This window comes from Homo sapiens, chromosome 12 (genome assembly GCF_000001405.40).
Source record: "Homo sapiens chromosome 12, GRCh38.p14 Primary Assembly".
NCBI lineage: Eukaryota > Metazoa > Chordata > Mammalia > Primates > Hominidae > Homo > Homo sapiens.
The window spans coordinates 27303442-27316787 of NC_000012.12; the positions used below are offsets into that span (position 1 = coordinate 27303442).

Below are 13346 nucleotides of genomic sequence, written 5' to 3' on the forward strand. Positions count from 1 at the left end.
CTGTTCCTGTCCCCATGGGAGCCTTAAAATACAGTCTTCCCAAAGACTAGACACTGTAACATCTTGTTGAGCATTACATCTCCACAGCTGTCTGGCAGAGAGCTAGAATAAATATTTGGTGAATAAACAAATAATGGCTTTTGCCCTCAAGGAGTTTTAGATTAGGAGAGGGAGAGTGAGTGAGTGTGTGTGTGTAAAAATATGTACGCATGATAGAATGTGGTGAACGTTGAAAATATAGAGAAGATTTTTCCTCTAATTCAGAGGATCAGAAAATGTTTCATAGAAGAAGTAATAATTGATTTGAATTGTAAAGAATGGGTAGAATTTACATTAGAGGTAAGGGATGTATACAAAATAATGAATACATGTACAGAATAATGAGTTTACATTTGAGCTATAAAGGGTGCAATAAAAGGAAATAGTGAGGTAAGTTGATAGCACACCATGGAAAGCTAGGTTTAGAATAGTTTACTAAAAAAGGTATACTTTAGTACTAGGCAATAGGGAGTCACAACCCAGATTAATTAGTTTAACATGCTGAGTGCAGTGGCACACACCTGTAATCCCAGCACTTTGGGAGGCCAAGATGGGAGGATCACTTGAGCCCAGGAGTTCAAGATCAGCCTGGGAAATATAGTAAGACCTGGTCTCTACAAAAAATTTTAAAAATTAAGCATGGTGTCCTGTGTGTGTAGTCCCAGCTACTCAGGAGGCTCAGGTGGGAGGATCACTTGAGCTCAGAAGGCAGAGGCTGCAGTGAGCTGAGATCATGCCATTGCACTCCAGCCTGGGTGACAGGGTGAGAGTCTGTCTCAAAAAAAAAAAAAAAAAAAAAAGAGTTTCTATATTTAAAGAGTAGACCATCATCAAATGATTAATTGAAATCAAATCAGTATCTAATCTTCCCTGTACCTTTCCTAGGACTGTAGCTGTTCCTTATAGTTGCAATGTTTAAATCAAATACAATATTTTATGACTTATACTAAAGGTGGTAACTTTGTTAATCAGTTGACTCAATCTAGAAAACTCAGATGTTTTTACATTTAAAATTATCTATCATTATTTACATGTCATTAATATTTTAAAAGCTCATTTATGTCCTTTAAATTTTAGTGAGAAAGGTAGTGATTTAAATCTGTATTCCAATCTATAGAGAAAAAATAAGACTGAGCATATCTTTCCTCATTTTAAAGTTAGAATTATAAATTTCTTATAATTAATAACCATATAATTGCATTTATATATTATACATCATTATATTGATATAGAAATCTTAAACATAAGATCTTAATTTGAAGTGTAGGGGAAGAGACTGCAAAAACAGATGCCCAAACACTAAGCAGGCAACGGAAGTGAGATAAGCTGGCCAGGTTGGTTTCATAGTGGCATCTAGGGTTATATTCTTTTGATCCAGATATACTTTGTTTACATATTCAACTTATATGATTTTTTTTTTGCTTCCACAAAGAAATAGATTAATATTTTTCCTTTTTAAAAAATATTATTTTCTTAAATATTGATCCTTACAGTTTATCTGTTGGCAAAGACATGCCACTTTTCACATTGCTGTAATAAGAGTCCCAGCCCATGTGGACATGCCTCCTAGGGACTCGCATCAGTGGTGGGGACTGACAAATTAGGGAACCAAGGCTCATCTAAAGAGGATTGCTACCATTGGCCCCTGTGGCCAAGGCCCTGTTTTTCCAGAGAAGCTAGTAATCTGGACTTTTTTTGCAGAATAACCAATCACCTGCTTTTGAAAAACAACTTGCAGTCCAAATCAAATATATCTGTAGGTTGAATATAGTTTGTAGCTTCCTGTTTGCAACTTCTGGTCTGCATCAGCAAGTACTGACTACATTTACAGCTATTTTCTCTAATTTTTCTGAATAACTTGTAGAAAATAGGAGATGATTTTTCCATAAAAAATAGTCAGTGGCCCATAATACCAGTTTATAAAACTTCTAATGTTTTTCTCTAAAAAATGTTTTTAATTCCACAGGTGCTTATTATTAGGCTCCATGCTAGAGCCTGGATTATATCAAATTCTGTAAAATAGACAAGCTCTCTCAACCTTAATATAAAGTATGTTACAGCATCTTTATATGGGGTGGGTTTGATAAAAAATAAAATTGTCTCATAAAAATAAAATAGATAAAGTTGCTAGCTGAACCCTTTTCATCTGAAAAATTTTGTATGCACTGTCTGTCTTATACAAATACTGGCCACCCTACAGATGGAGAGTTTGAGGAACACCTATATAAAAAGGAATGGAGAAAGGAAGAAAAGCACTTTCTAGTTTCATCTCACTTAAGAAAATCCCATCCAACATGGAATGTTATTTACTCTAATGAAAAACTAAATAGGCAAGTTCAAGCTATAAAAGAGAGTCGTGAAATGTTAAGCTGTCCACAGATTTTTATTGTCTTCTTTGAAGAGGAAAGGATGCAATTACCACAAGGATACTGTTTGTCTTTCAAGGCTACTTAATCTATACAGGTTGTGAGTAGATATATCAACAGGCTTTTTCACCAATTTTTTTTTTAACATGAATTTGATTCAGCTACCTCTGGACTGCAACACTGATTCTAAGACTAAAATCATGGAATCAATTTTTTTTAACTAATGTAACAATGTTATAGGTGATGCTCATTTTTATAGAATTATGTGTTCCATACACTTGTGACTCTCTCTTTTTGCTATTAAATGGCTGGGCCCAAAACCACATAAATTGTGTGAGTGCTGCATTATACAAACTACTAGACAATTTATGAAACTGTGTATAGTGATGTCATCTTTTCCATTCAGATTAAGCAGGATTTCTGCAACTATATCCAACTGTACTGTTTTATAATCTATAAAGGGAGAGATTCAAAATACTTTCAAAATTCTTATTCTTTTATGTAATTAAAAAAAAACCCTCCTCACTACTTCCTTAAAGGACATGATACTATAGTGCCACCAAGTGGCCTTTTAAAAATTAGTCTTAAAATTTAAAATCAGATACTTTTTAGAGCTCTCTTTTGTTTTACTAGTAATTTATTTTTTTATTATTCAAAAGGTATTTTTGAACACCTATGTGCAAAAAAGGGTATTTGTCATTGCATTTAGGTAAAAAGCAGCAAAAAATAGTCTTCACTATTGTTTCAGGCCACATTTGTTTTCTTAATTATATCAATGTAATTTTAGCTCCGTTAAAACTGATATTTAAGTAGCTTCCCTTAAAGAAAGCAGGAATTTGCCAGTGTTGGTATTTCAGGAATTTTATAAACACACACACACACACACACACACACACACACACACACATATATTTGAGATGGAGTTTCGGTCTTGTCACCCAGGCTGGAGTGCAATGGGATCTCAGCTCACTGCAACCTCTGCCTCCCGGGTTCAAGTGATTCTCCTGCCTCAGCCTCCTGAGTACAGGTGCATGCCACCACGCCCGGCTAATTTTTGTATTTTTAGTAGAGACGGGGTTTTACCATGTTGGCCAGGATGGTCTCGATCTCCTGACTTCATGATCCATCCACCTCGGCCTCCCAAAGTGCTGGGATTATAGGCGTGAGCCACCACACCCGGCTTATCGCCTCACTTCTTACTGAAAAAAATAATCTTTCATTGTTGTTTGCTTACTTTTTCCATAGTACCATTGTATTTTATAATCAATATCAGATGTGGAAAAAGACATTTAAAAAAAGACATTAAAGACATTAAAAAAAGACATTAGGCAAAGCCTGTTAATTTGTGTACTTGATTTTTATCTTCATTACTGTCATAATTTACACCATTGGTGTGCCTTAGTGTATAACTTCATTTAGCTGTTTGAAGACATTTCTTGATTTCATCTTCTTAGATTAACTTTGTTAGAAGTATCAGAATTCCATTGCATTGATAATACATGTTTACATACATATTTCTAATTAATAGTTCACCTAACCCTTTTAAAAACAGATATATACAGGAGTAGGGAGAGGCTATACCATGAGCTGCATTTAGAAGCAATGTTTCTAAGCTGTTACTTTCATTTTGATTTGTCTGTCCCTCCAAACTGAACCACTAAAAGCTTGGCAGGATTCAGTTGAAGATGAACAGGAGTTAAATTTTTTCACTGATATTGTTTCTTTTCCACTTAGTGTTTCCTCTACTAGGAGCTAACTATGTCCAAAAACAGAATTTTGATTGGTGAGGGTGAAAAATGAAGTTTAGAACAATAAAATAAATACCTGTTCCAAATGTAACCTGCAGGTATTTCACAGTATTGCTTATTAATGGAAGTTATTTTTTGTGGTCTTTGTAGAATCAGTTATGAAATTACCAACTTGGATATTTTAATGACTTCTTCTTGTAATTGTTTTTGCAATTTTATATTTTCAGGAAGTTCTATGCCAGGTCTCAAGCAGTTTATTAAAATTTGCCCAAGAGTAAATTCTACCACAAGTAAATCTCTTTGGAAACACTACCATTATGTTGTTATTTTATTGTCACAAGTCTCAGTAGTTGTGAAAGAGCAACCTTGGAAATTAAGGAATTGAAGCAAAGCAGATTTCCTGACAGAATAAAAATCAGTATCAGAATACCATTAACATTTACTAACATTTAATTTTTATTTATGGAATTGTTACCATATAGATGAAAGAATAAGTTATACATATATATATATATAGACAAATATGATGGACTGAATTACATATTTAATGGAGTCCACCTCAAAAGTAAAGATTTATCAGTTGTTAAAAATTTTAGAAAGTTTTCTTTAAATTGTTTTAGCCTAATAGTATATTACATATTAGTGCTATCATTTATTTTTACGTGTATCATCTTTTAATACTAGAAGCTCCATCAAAACAACCTAATTATAAAATCATCCGTTTAAATTGTTTTTTTTTAATAGAAAAAGTTACGTCGATCACAACACGCTCGCAAAGAAACAGAGTTCTTACGGCTCAAAAGGACCAGACTTGGCTTGGATGACTTTGAGTCTCTGAAAGTTATAGGAAGAGGAGCTTTTGGAGAGGTGTGCTTCTTTTTAAAAGTCACTACTGCTGCAAATATATATCTTAAGATAATTTAAAATATGTGTTAAAATATAATTCCTGGCTGGGTGCGGTGGCTCACGCCTGTAATCCCAATACTTTGGGAGGCCGAGGCGGGTGGATCGCCTGAGGTCAGGAGTTCGAGACCAGCCTGGCCAGTGAAACCCCGTCTCTATAAAAATACAAAAATTAGCTGGGCGTGGTGGTGGGCACCTGTAATCCCAGCTACTTGGGAGGCTGAGGCAGGAGAATCGCTTGAGCCCAGGAGGCAGAAGTTGCAGTGAGCTGAGATCCCACCATTGCACTCCAGCCTGGGCAACATGAGTGAAACGCTCTCTCAAAAAAATATATATATGTGTTTGTATGTATATATAAAAAAATATATATAAATATAAATATATATAAATGTAAATATATAAATATATATAAATATATATTAATATATATAAAATATATATAAATATATATATAACATATATAAAAATATATAGATATAAAAATATATAGATATATATATATAAAATTCCTGAAATACCAACACTGGCAAATTCCTGCTTTCTTTAAGGGAAGTTACTTTTCTTTCCTGAACAAATAGTAGTGACTGTTTTATAATATATGTTTTTTATCTTTTAGGTGCGGTTGGTCCAGAAGAAAGATACAGGCCATATCTATGCAATGAAGATATTGAGAAAGTCTGATATGCTTGAAAAAGAGCAGGTATGAGTTCTTTAACACATGTAATATAAAGGAGCATCCACTGACGCAGTGTTAAGAGTGTTTATATTAGAATTTTTAAGAAGCAGTTTACACATCTTACTACATAAGCTATTAATTTTTTGGTAGCCTGTTTTAGTGTTTCTCAGTTCTTTTAAGGTTTCTTCTAAATTTATAATCTATGTATGTCTGCTTAGACTTCCATAACAGAACACAACAGGCTGGTTAGCTTAAACAACAGAAACTTATTTTCTCATAGTTCTGGAGGCTACAAGTCAAAAATGAAAGTTTGGGCAGGTTTTGGTTTCTGGTGAGGCCTCTCTTCCTGGCTTGCAGATGGCCACCTTCTCACTAAGTTTTCACATGGCCTTTCCTTGGTGTGTGCGGGGACACACACTCCTGTGAGAACTCTCTGGTGTCTCTTCTTATAAGGACATTAATTCCACCCTTATGACCTCATTAATTAACCTTAATTAATTCCCTAAGGGTCCATCTCCAAATACAGCCTCATTGGAGATTAAAGCTTTACTCTATGAATTTTGTAGATGCATGAACATTCAGTACATACCTTCTGAAATACCTCCTTTTCTGACTACAATGAAAATAAAGGACAGTTCTCAGCTCCCAGAATCCCTGTCACATATCAGATAATCAAAACTAGTCTCCTGGAAATTTGCTGATTTTACATATTTCTAAAATCTGTAACCTTGTAAATATTCTGGGCTCTCTGCATGTTTCCTGTGCCTTAATGCAGTTACAAGGGGTGGCTTCGAGTAAAGGAGGGATGGCTTTTTGAATATTTAAGGAGAGAAATTGTGAAATGGTCATTTTCAGGTGCGGGAAAGCAGACCTGCTAAGGAAATGCAGTTGAAGGCTCATTGAGATTTGCAGTCATGAATTTAAAGTGAAACCCATTGGCATAGCTGGGTGATTTTTCACCCTAGTTTCAGTTAGGTTAAGAAGGTAATAGGAACCATCAGGAGACAGGGTTATAGGGGATTTTGTTGATGACAGGCTATGATTCCCCAGAGGGAAGAGGTGTGGAAGGCAAGGAAGGTTGAGATACTGAGTTGGATTAGAGAACTATAGATAATGATGGGAATATAGCAAGACCCCATTCTCCACAAAAAGGAAGAAAAAAGAAAGATAATGATGGCAATAAGGACGTGGGTAAAGATGCATAGCCTCAGAGACAGGGAGGGCAACAGGAATCTAACTTAGCCATAATGGGATTAGTCCTACTAGGGTATAATAGGAAGGACAGAAGGAAGCAGTTAGTTCCAGCTGTAGTGTAGATACCAGCCAGCCACATGTGGCTACTGGGCACAAATTGGGATATCCAGCAAATAAGGCTTGGTGCAAAAATAAATAAATAAATAAATAAAATATTTCAATGATTTTTATATTGATTACATACTAAGGTGATAATATTCGGATATATTAGGTTACATAAACTGTATTATTAAAAATAATTTCATTCTGTATGTGGCTTCTAGAAAATTTAAAAATTACATACATGACTTGTGTTACATCTGTACTGGACAGCCCTTGGTCTACAATATTTTGTGGGAAGTTAAGGAGCCTCTGGACCACTGCTCTTTCCTGTGGGGAGGTGGGGGGCGGAAATCTCTCCGTAGCCTAACGTCTAGTTGCCTTTGCATTTTGGGGTTGTTTTTTACCCCTGTATAAATTAATTTGCATTTGTTACCACTGGATTTTGTTTTAGAAAGCTTTTTTCTACTCAATTCTAATACATCAATATTTTAACTTTTATCACATTTATTTTAATGCAAACCACCCCCACAAAATTAAATACCAACTGATCTCCTCACTGTTGTTCTACCAGATTACTATAGGTCATACTTTCCAACCTTTGGATCCTGTTTTGGAAAGGGATCCTGTAATTTGGCTTTAAACCATTTAAAAATAATCAAGCCATGTTTATGTTGTAGTTGTTTTCCTTACACACCAGATGCAACACCAAAGTTTAGGGCTTTTCCTTACCACCTTAAATTGCTTCATGAAAGGTAATAGGTAGGCACTCTTGCTACCACTTTTCACTTAATGAAACAGATCCATAGAAATTATAAAGTATTTTCATGCCAGAAGACAAGTTCTTACTCCTCAACTCTTACGCTTTGATCTCAGAATATTTACTGCACTAGGAGTAATTCCAAATATGACACTTTAAGCAGATCATATTTTATTATCATAGAAAGGTTTACAAATGTATGTTCTCATGTGCTTTGGACCAGAGTTTTTAACGTTGCACAATGAAAATAGCAAAAGCATAAATCAAATCTTATTAATCTTTGGAAAAAGTGTATAAATATATTAATGCAAAAGCATCTGCAAACTGACCAGTTATACCAACCCCATAAATTATCCAGTTTATAAAATTTTCCAGTCTATAACATTTTCACATGATAGTATCTCTAGTAATTATGTGTCCGAGAAATCAGTGGCAAAATCCCCAAAAGTTACACAAATTTGCTTTAGCTAACATTTATAGATATGGTAGAGGTTTTATATTATAACAATAATATAACATAAAGTTACTATAATTGTTACTATTTCTTTAAAAAACACCAAATAATGATCAAGCTGGGACCTTTGTTTAACAATTAAAAATAGTTTGCTATTTTTAGCCAAGCTTAGGTTTGCTGTACCAATTTACAGGGCATTGCTTACTCTTTTTTTTTTTGAGATGGAGTCTCGTTCTGTCACCAAGCTGGAGTGCAGTGACGCAATCTCGGCTCACTGCAACCTCCGCCTCCCGGGTTCAAGCGATTCTCCTGCCTCAGCCTCCTGAGTAGCCGGGACTACTGGTGTGTGCCACCATGCCTGGCTAATTTTTTGTATGTTTAGTAGAGACGGGGTTTCACCGTTTTAGCCAGGATGGTCTCAATCTCCTGACCTCGTGATCCACCTGCCCTGGCCTCCCAAAGTGCTGGGATTACAGGCGTGAGCCACTGTGCCCGGCCCTGCTTACTACTTTTAACTTTAAAAATCACACTAGTGCCCTAAATTTATGTGACAAAGCCAGGATCCTAGGCTGGGTAGAGATTCTGGTTAAAAAGTTGTTAGACTGATTCTTGCTCTACCTCAGAGGCCTCAGCTTCACGTAATATACCTGTTGACCTCACCTTTTCAGACCTAAAGATATAAGCTAAAATAAACTATTTCTTGAGGTTCTCCATATTTGATGAGAATACGAACATTCATACATGTATCAAATCTTCTGAAACTCCATCTTTCCTTCATTAACTGTTATGGATGGATAAGTGTAAGAGATGAGTTTAACAAATGTGTGATGTATTTACAATTATTTTTTTCAAAAATATATTCATCTAGGTGGCCCATATCCGAGCAGAAAGAGATATTTTGGTAGAAGCAGATGGTGCCTGGGTGGTGAAGATGTTTTACAGTTTTCAGGATAAGAGGAATCTTTATCTAATCATGGAATTTCTCCCTGGAGGTAAAAGCAAACATTGTATCAATGACAGACTGATACAAGCACATCTTTATATGCAACAATAATTTTATTGGTGAGGTTTACTTTTATATTCTTTGCTCTGAGGCTTTACATAGTCACAGTTTAAAAATATTTACTACCATATTGATGCTCATTTTTACCACAAAACAGATTGTTTTGAAGGAATTATAAAGTTAGCACATTTTAAATATTACCGTTCTGGGTTCACTGTATATAATTAGGTTGTTATAAGTTGTGTTAGTTTATTTTATGTTGTTACAAAAAATACCTGAGACTGGATGGGCGCAGTGGCTCACGCCTGTAATCCCAGCACTTTGGGAGGCCGAGGCGGATGGATCACGAGGTCAGGAGATCAAGACCATCCTGGCTAACAAGGTGAAACCCCGTCTCTACTAAAAATAAAAAAAATTAGCTGGGCGCAGTGGCGGGCGCCTGTAGTCCCAGCTACTTGGGAGGCTGAGGCAGGAGAATGGTGTGAACCCGGGAGGCGGAGCTTGCAGTGAGCCGAGATAGCGCCACTGCAGTCCGGCCTGGGCGAAAACAGCGAGACTACGTCTCAAAAAAAAAAAAAAAAAATACCTGAGACTGTGTAATTTATAAAGGAAAGAGGTTTAATCATTGCTCAGCAAAGAGGGCAAGGGGAAAAGAATGGCAATGGAGGGCAAAGAATTCTGGGTTTTGTTTTGTTTTGTTTTAATTTTTATTTTTTGAGATGAAGTCTCGCTCTGTTGCCTAGGCTGGAGTGCAGTGGTGTGATCTTGGCTCACTACAACCTCTGCCTCCCGGGTTCAAGCGATTCTCCTGTCTCAGCCTCCTGAGTAGCTGGGATTACAGGTGCCCACCACCATGCCCAGCTAATTTTTTTTGTATTTAGTAGAGACGGGGTTTCACCATGTTGGTCAGGCTGGTCTCAAACTCCTGACCTCAAGTGATCCACCCACCTCAGCCTCCCAGAGTGTTGGGAATACAGGCGTGAACCACTGCCCCTGGCTCCCTATTTTTTTTAAAGCCTCAAAAAATATATGAAAAAAATGTAATCAGTTGTCAATTCTGTGTTGTAAGTGCACCAGTGTTTACAACAGTTAAAACTGTTAAAACTTTTAAAATTCCTTGAAAATAAAAGAATGTCTGCAGGTGCCTTTTTTAGTGGGATAATGTCCCACTAAACTCTAAAAGAATATATTTCGTTTCCAGGTGCACTTATTCTGATTTTTTTGCAGTTTGACATTTTCCTCAGCAGTTAATTCTAGAAGTTGAGTGGTAGATATTACTTCATTATCAGCTCTTTTGTGATTTGATTTCACATGGTCTCTGCCTTAAAACCATTAAAAGTCATGAAACTTCTGCTATGCAATAGCACTTTTATTTGTCCCAAGATGTGGTTAGAAATATACTGGGTAGATCATAAAATGCAAACTCAGGAAAGCTAGCTGGGCATGGTGGCTCATGCCTGTAATCCCAGTACTTTGGGAGGCCAAGGCAGGCAGATAGCTTGAAACCAGGAGTTTGAGACCAGCCTGGCCAACATGGCAAAACCCCATCTCTACTAAAAATACAAAAATTAGCTGGGTGTGGTGGTGCACACCTGTAATCTCAGCTACTTGGGTGGCTGAGGCATGAAAACTGTTTGAACCCAGGAGGCGGAGGTTGCAGTGAGCCATGATCACACCACTGCACTCCAACCCAGGCAACAGAGTGAGACTCTGTCTCCAAAAAAAAAAAAAAAAAAGTAAAAAAAGCAGGAAAGCTTTTACAAGGTATTCCACCTTTGAGGCATTTTCAATAATAATATATTTGACTATCCTTTATTTAGGTGACATGATGACATTGCTAATGAAGAAAGACACCTTGACAGAAGAGGAAACACAGTTCTACATTTCAGAGACTGTTCTGGCAATAGATGCGATCCACCAGTTGGGTTTCATCCATCGGGATATTAAGCCAGACAACCTTTTATTGGATGCCAAGGCATGTGAATAAACTGGTGAATTACTAGGCTGTTGATTATTTTTTAGAGCAGTAGGGCTGATTTTGTGAATGGAAATCAGCAACTGCAATTTAGAATATTGCTAAACAACATTATATGATAAGGTACTAGGAGAGGACTTGGGAATTAAATGACAACAGGGAATATGGCTCTCTTTTTATCTCCCTCCATTTTCTACTTTTAAAAATCATCATCAGATACTTAAAATTTTACATTTTACGTGTATAAATCCCAAGCTAAGAATTTTTATTATAATTGCCATTTAATAGAGGAGTTTATAACAAGGCTTTTTGTTTTCAAAGTTAATATGATCTAATTTTACTGGATTTTTTTTTAGGGTCATGTAAAATTATCTGATTTTGGTTTATGTACGGGATTAAAGAAAGCTCACAGGACTGAATTTTATAGAAATCTCACACACAACCCACCAAGTGACTTCTGTAAGTTTGGTTGTTGTTTTTCTTCTTTCCCCTGGTTAAGATACTGTAGAGAACAGAAGGTTCTTTCCCTTTCCCCACTCCTTAATCCACTGTGTTTTAGATGTATATGTATTTTCTTTTTGTGGAGAGCATTTTTCCCTCGTGATTACAATTCCATATTGTTGAAATTAGCATTTCAGAACATGAACTCAAAGAGGAAAGCAGAAACTTGGAAGAAGAACAGGAGACAACTGGTGAGTCAACCAGTTTTTAAGAGAATTTTATGCCTTGGTTCTAAAATCTTACCTGGTTTTAACTTGATTATTTTTATCTTTATAATAATTAGTATTTACTTCATAACAATGGTAGCGCTTGCTCTGGGATCACACAGTTTTCTTAGTTTCTCTGTTAAGTTTCCTTGCCTGTAAAGCAAAGTGTTGGTTTTTACTTTGTAACTTTAGAGTAGTTTACTGAGCATACCTACAAGTAAGCTGTTTACTAGTAATTAGCACTTTAAATAAAACTCACTGAGGTGAATGCAATTGTAATGAATGCCTTGTGATTTCCATTTTTCCATTTTTCATAACTGTGTTACAAATCCTGATACAACAAATATCAATCAGCAAGTAAGGTGGTTGTGAGTTTCTAAAAACTTCTTTATAGACAAAGTAAACAGGAAGTTTGGGATGTAAACAGTGTTACAATAAAACAGATAAAATTTGAAAAAGCTGGCTTTGCCACAGATAAATTTAATTACTCCTTTAATATAGAATTACATTATTTTTAACCCCATACTATTTCCTTTCTATAACTGAGCAAATAGAAGAATTGCTTCCCCTTTCTCCTCTTTCCCTTTGTCCTGTTAACATGGTCCATCAACAGTCTACAGGTTAAGAATGTGCCTTAGGATTTTCTTTTTCTCATTTCTTATAAAATGCCTGGCACATACGGACACTCTATAAATACTTGTTCAACCAAATGATGAAAGGAAAACTAATTCAGCATTCCCTCAGGAAAGTAAACAGACTGAAAAATAATAGGCTAATACCCTCTAAAACCAAATAAAATGACCTTTGCATTATTGAGCTTATTATCTCATTAACCTAAGTAACTGCAAAAACTTGTAAAACATTTCAGTATTTTTAAATGTATTGAGTTACACATTAAGGAGAAAAACTTTGTTCTACTTTTAAAATGTGTCCATTTTAGATCAGGTTTTGCAATTGAGAATAATTGCAATATTCCCTATTTTTAAAGGGGAAAAACTGAATACTGCTCAAAATTATGGTGGGGGAATTCTGTACCCCCCTATTTACAAAATATTCATGGGTGATTACTCAGGTGTGTGTTTTATTATTCTCATGGCCAGTAGTTGCCAAGCCTTAGATCGAGTGTTTCCCAAGGGAGAAGTAGAGAGGACTCAGTGTTTGGGGCAGGAAATTTCTTTAGCACCTGGATCCCCTGCCCTGTAAATGCCAGTTATGTCACTGAGATGACAAAATCTGTGGTCCTACATTTTGCCATGGCCCCAAGAGTACTACCCCTGGTTGAGAATTACTGCCTTGTAGAAATCATTTTTGTAAGATTTTATATGAATTAAGAATTAAAAACTGCATAGCTTCCTAAAGGATAAGCAGTACCCTGGAATTACATTTATAATGAAAATACCTCATGCTTATTTTTGTAGTTTG

The 13346-nt window shown here is 35.8% G+C and overlaps 1 protein-coding gene across 1 annotated transcript in view; it reads left to right on the forward strand.

Moving 5' to 3' along the window:
* STK38L (serine/threonine kinase 38 like) overlaps positions 1-13346 on the forward strand; it is an 81674-nt gene that overhangs the window by 59156 nt on the left and 9172 nt on the right. The window contains exons 4-9 of the mRNA NM_015000.4: positions 4898-5020; positions 5673-5756; positions 9108-9231; positions 11063-11217; positions 11574-11676; positions 11848-11909. Coding sequence (NP_055815.1) covers positions 4898-5020; positions 5673-5756; positions 9108-9231; positions 11063-11217; positions 11574-11676; positions 11848-11909 — 651 coding nt within the window. The remainder of the gene's footprint in view (positions 1-4897; positions 5021-5672; positions 5757-9107; positions 9232-11062; positions 11218-11573; positions 11677-11847; positions 11910-13346) is intronic.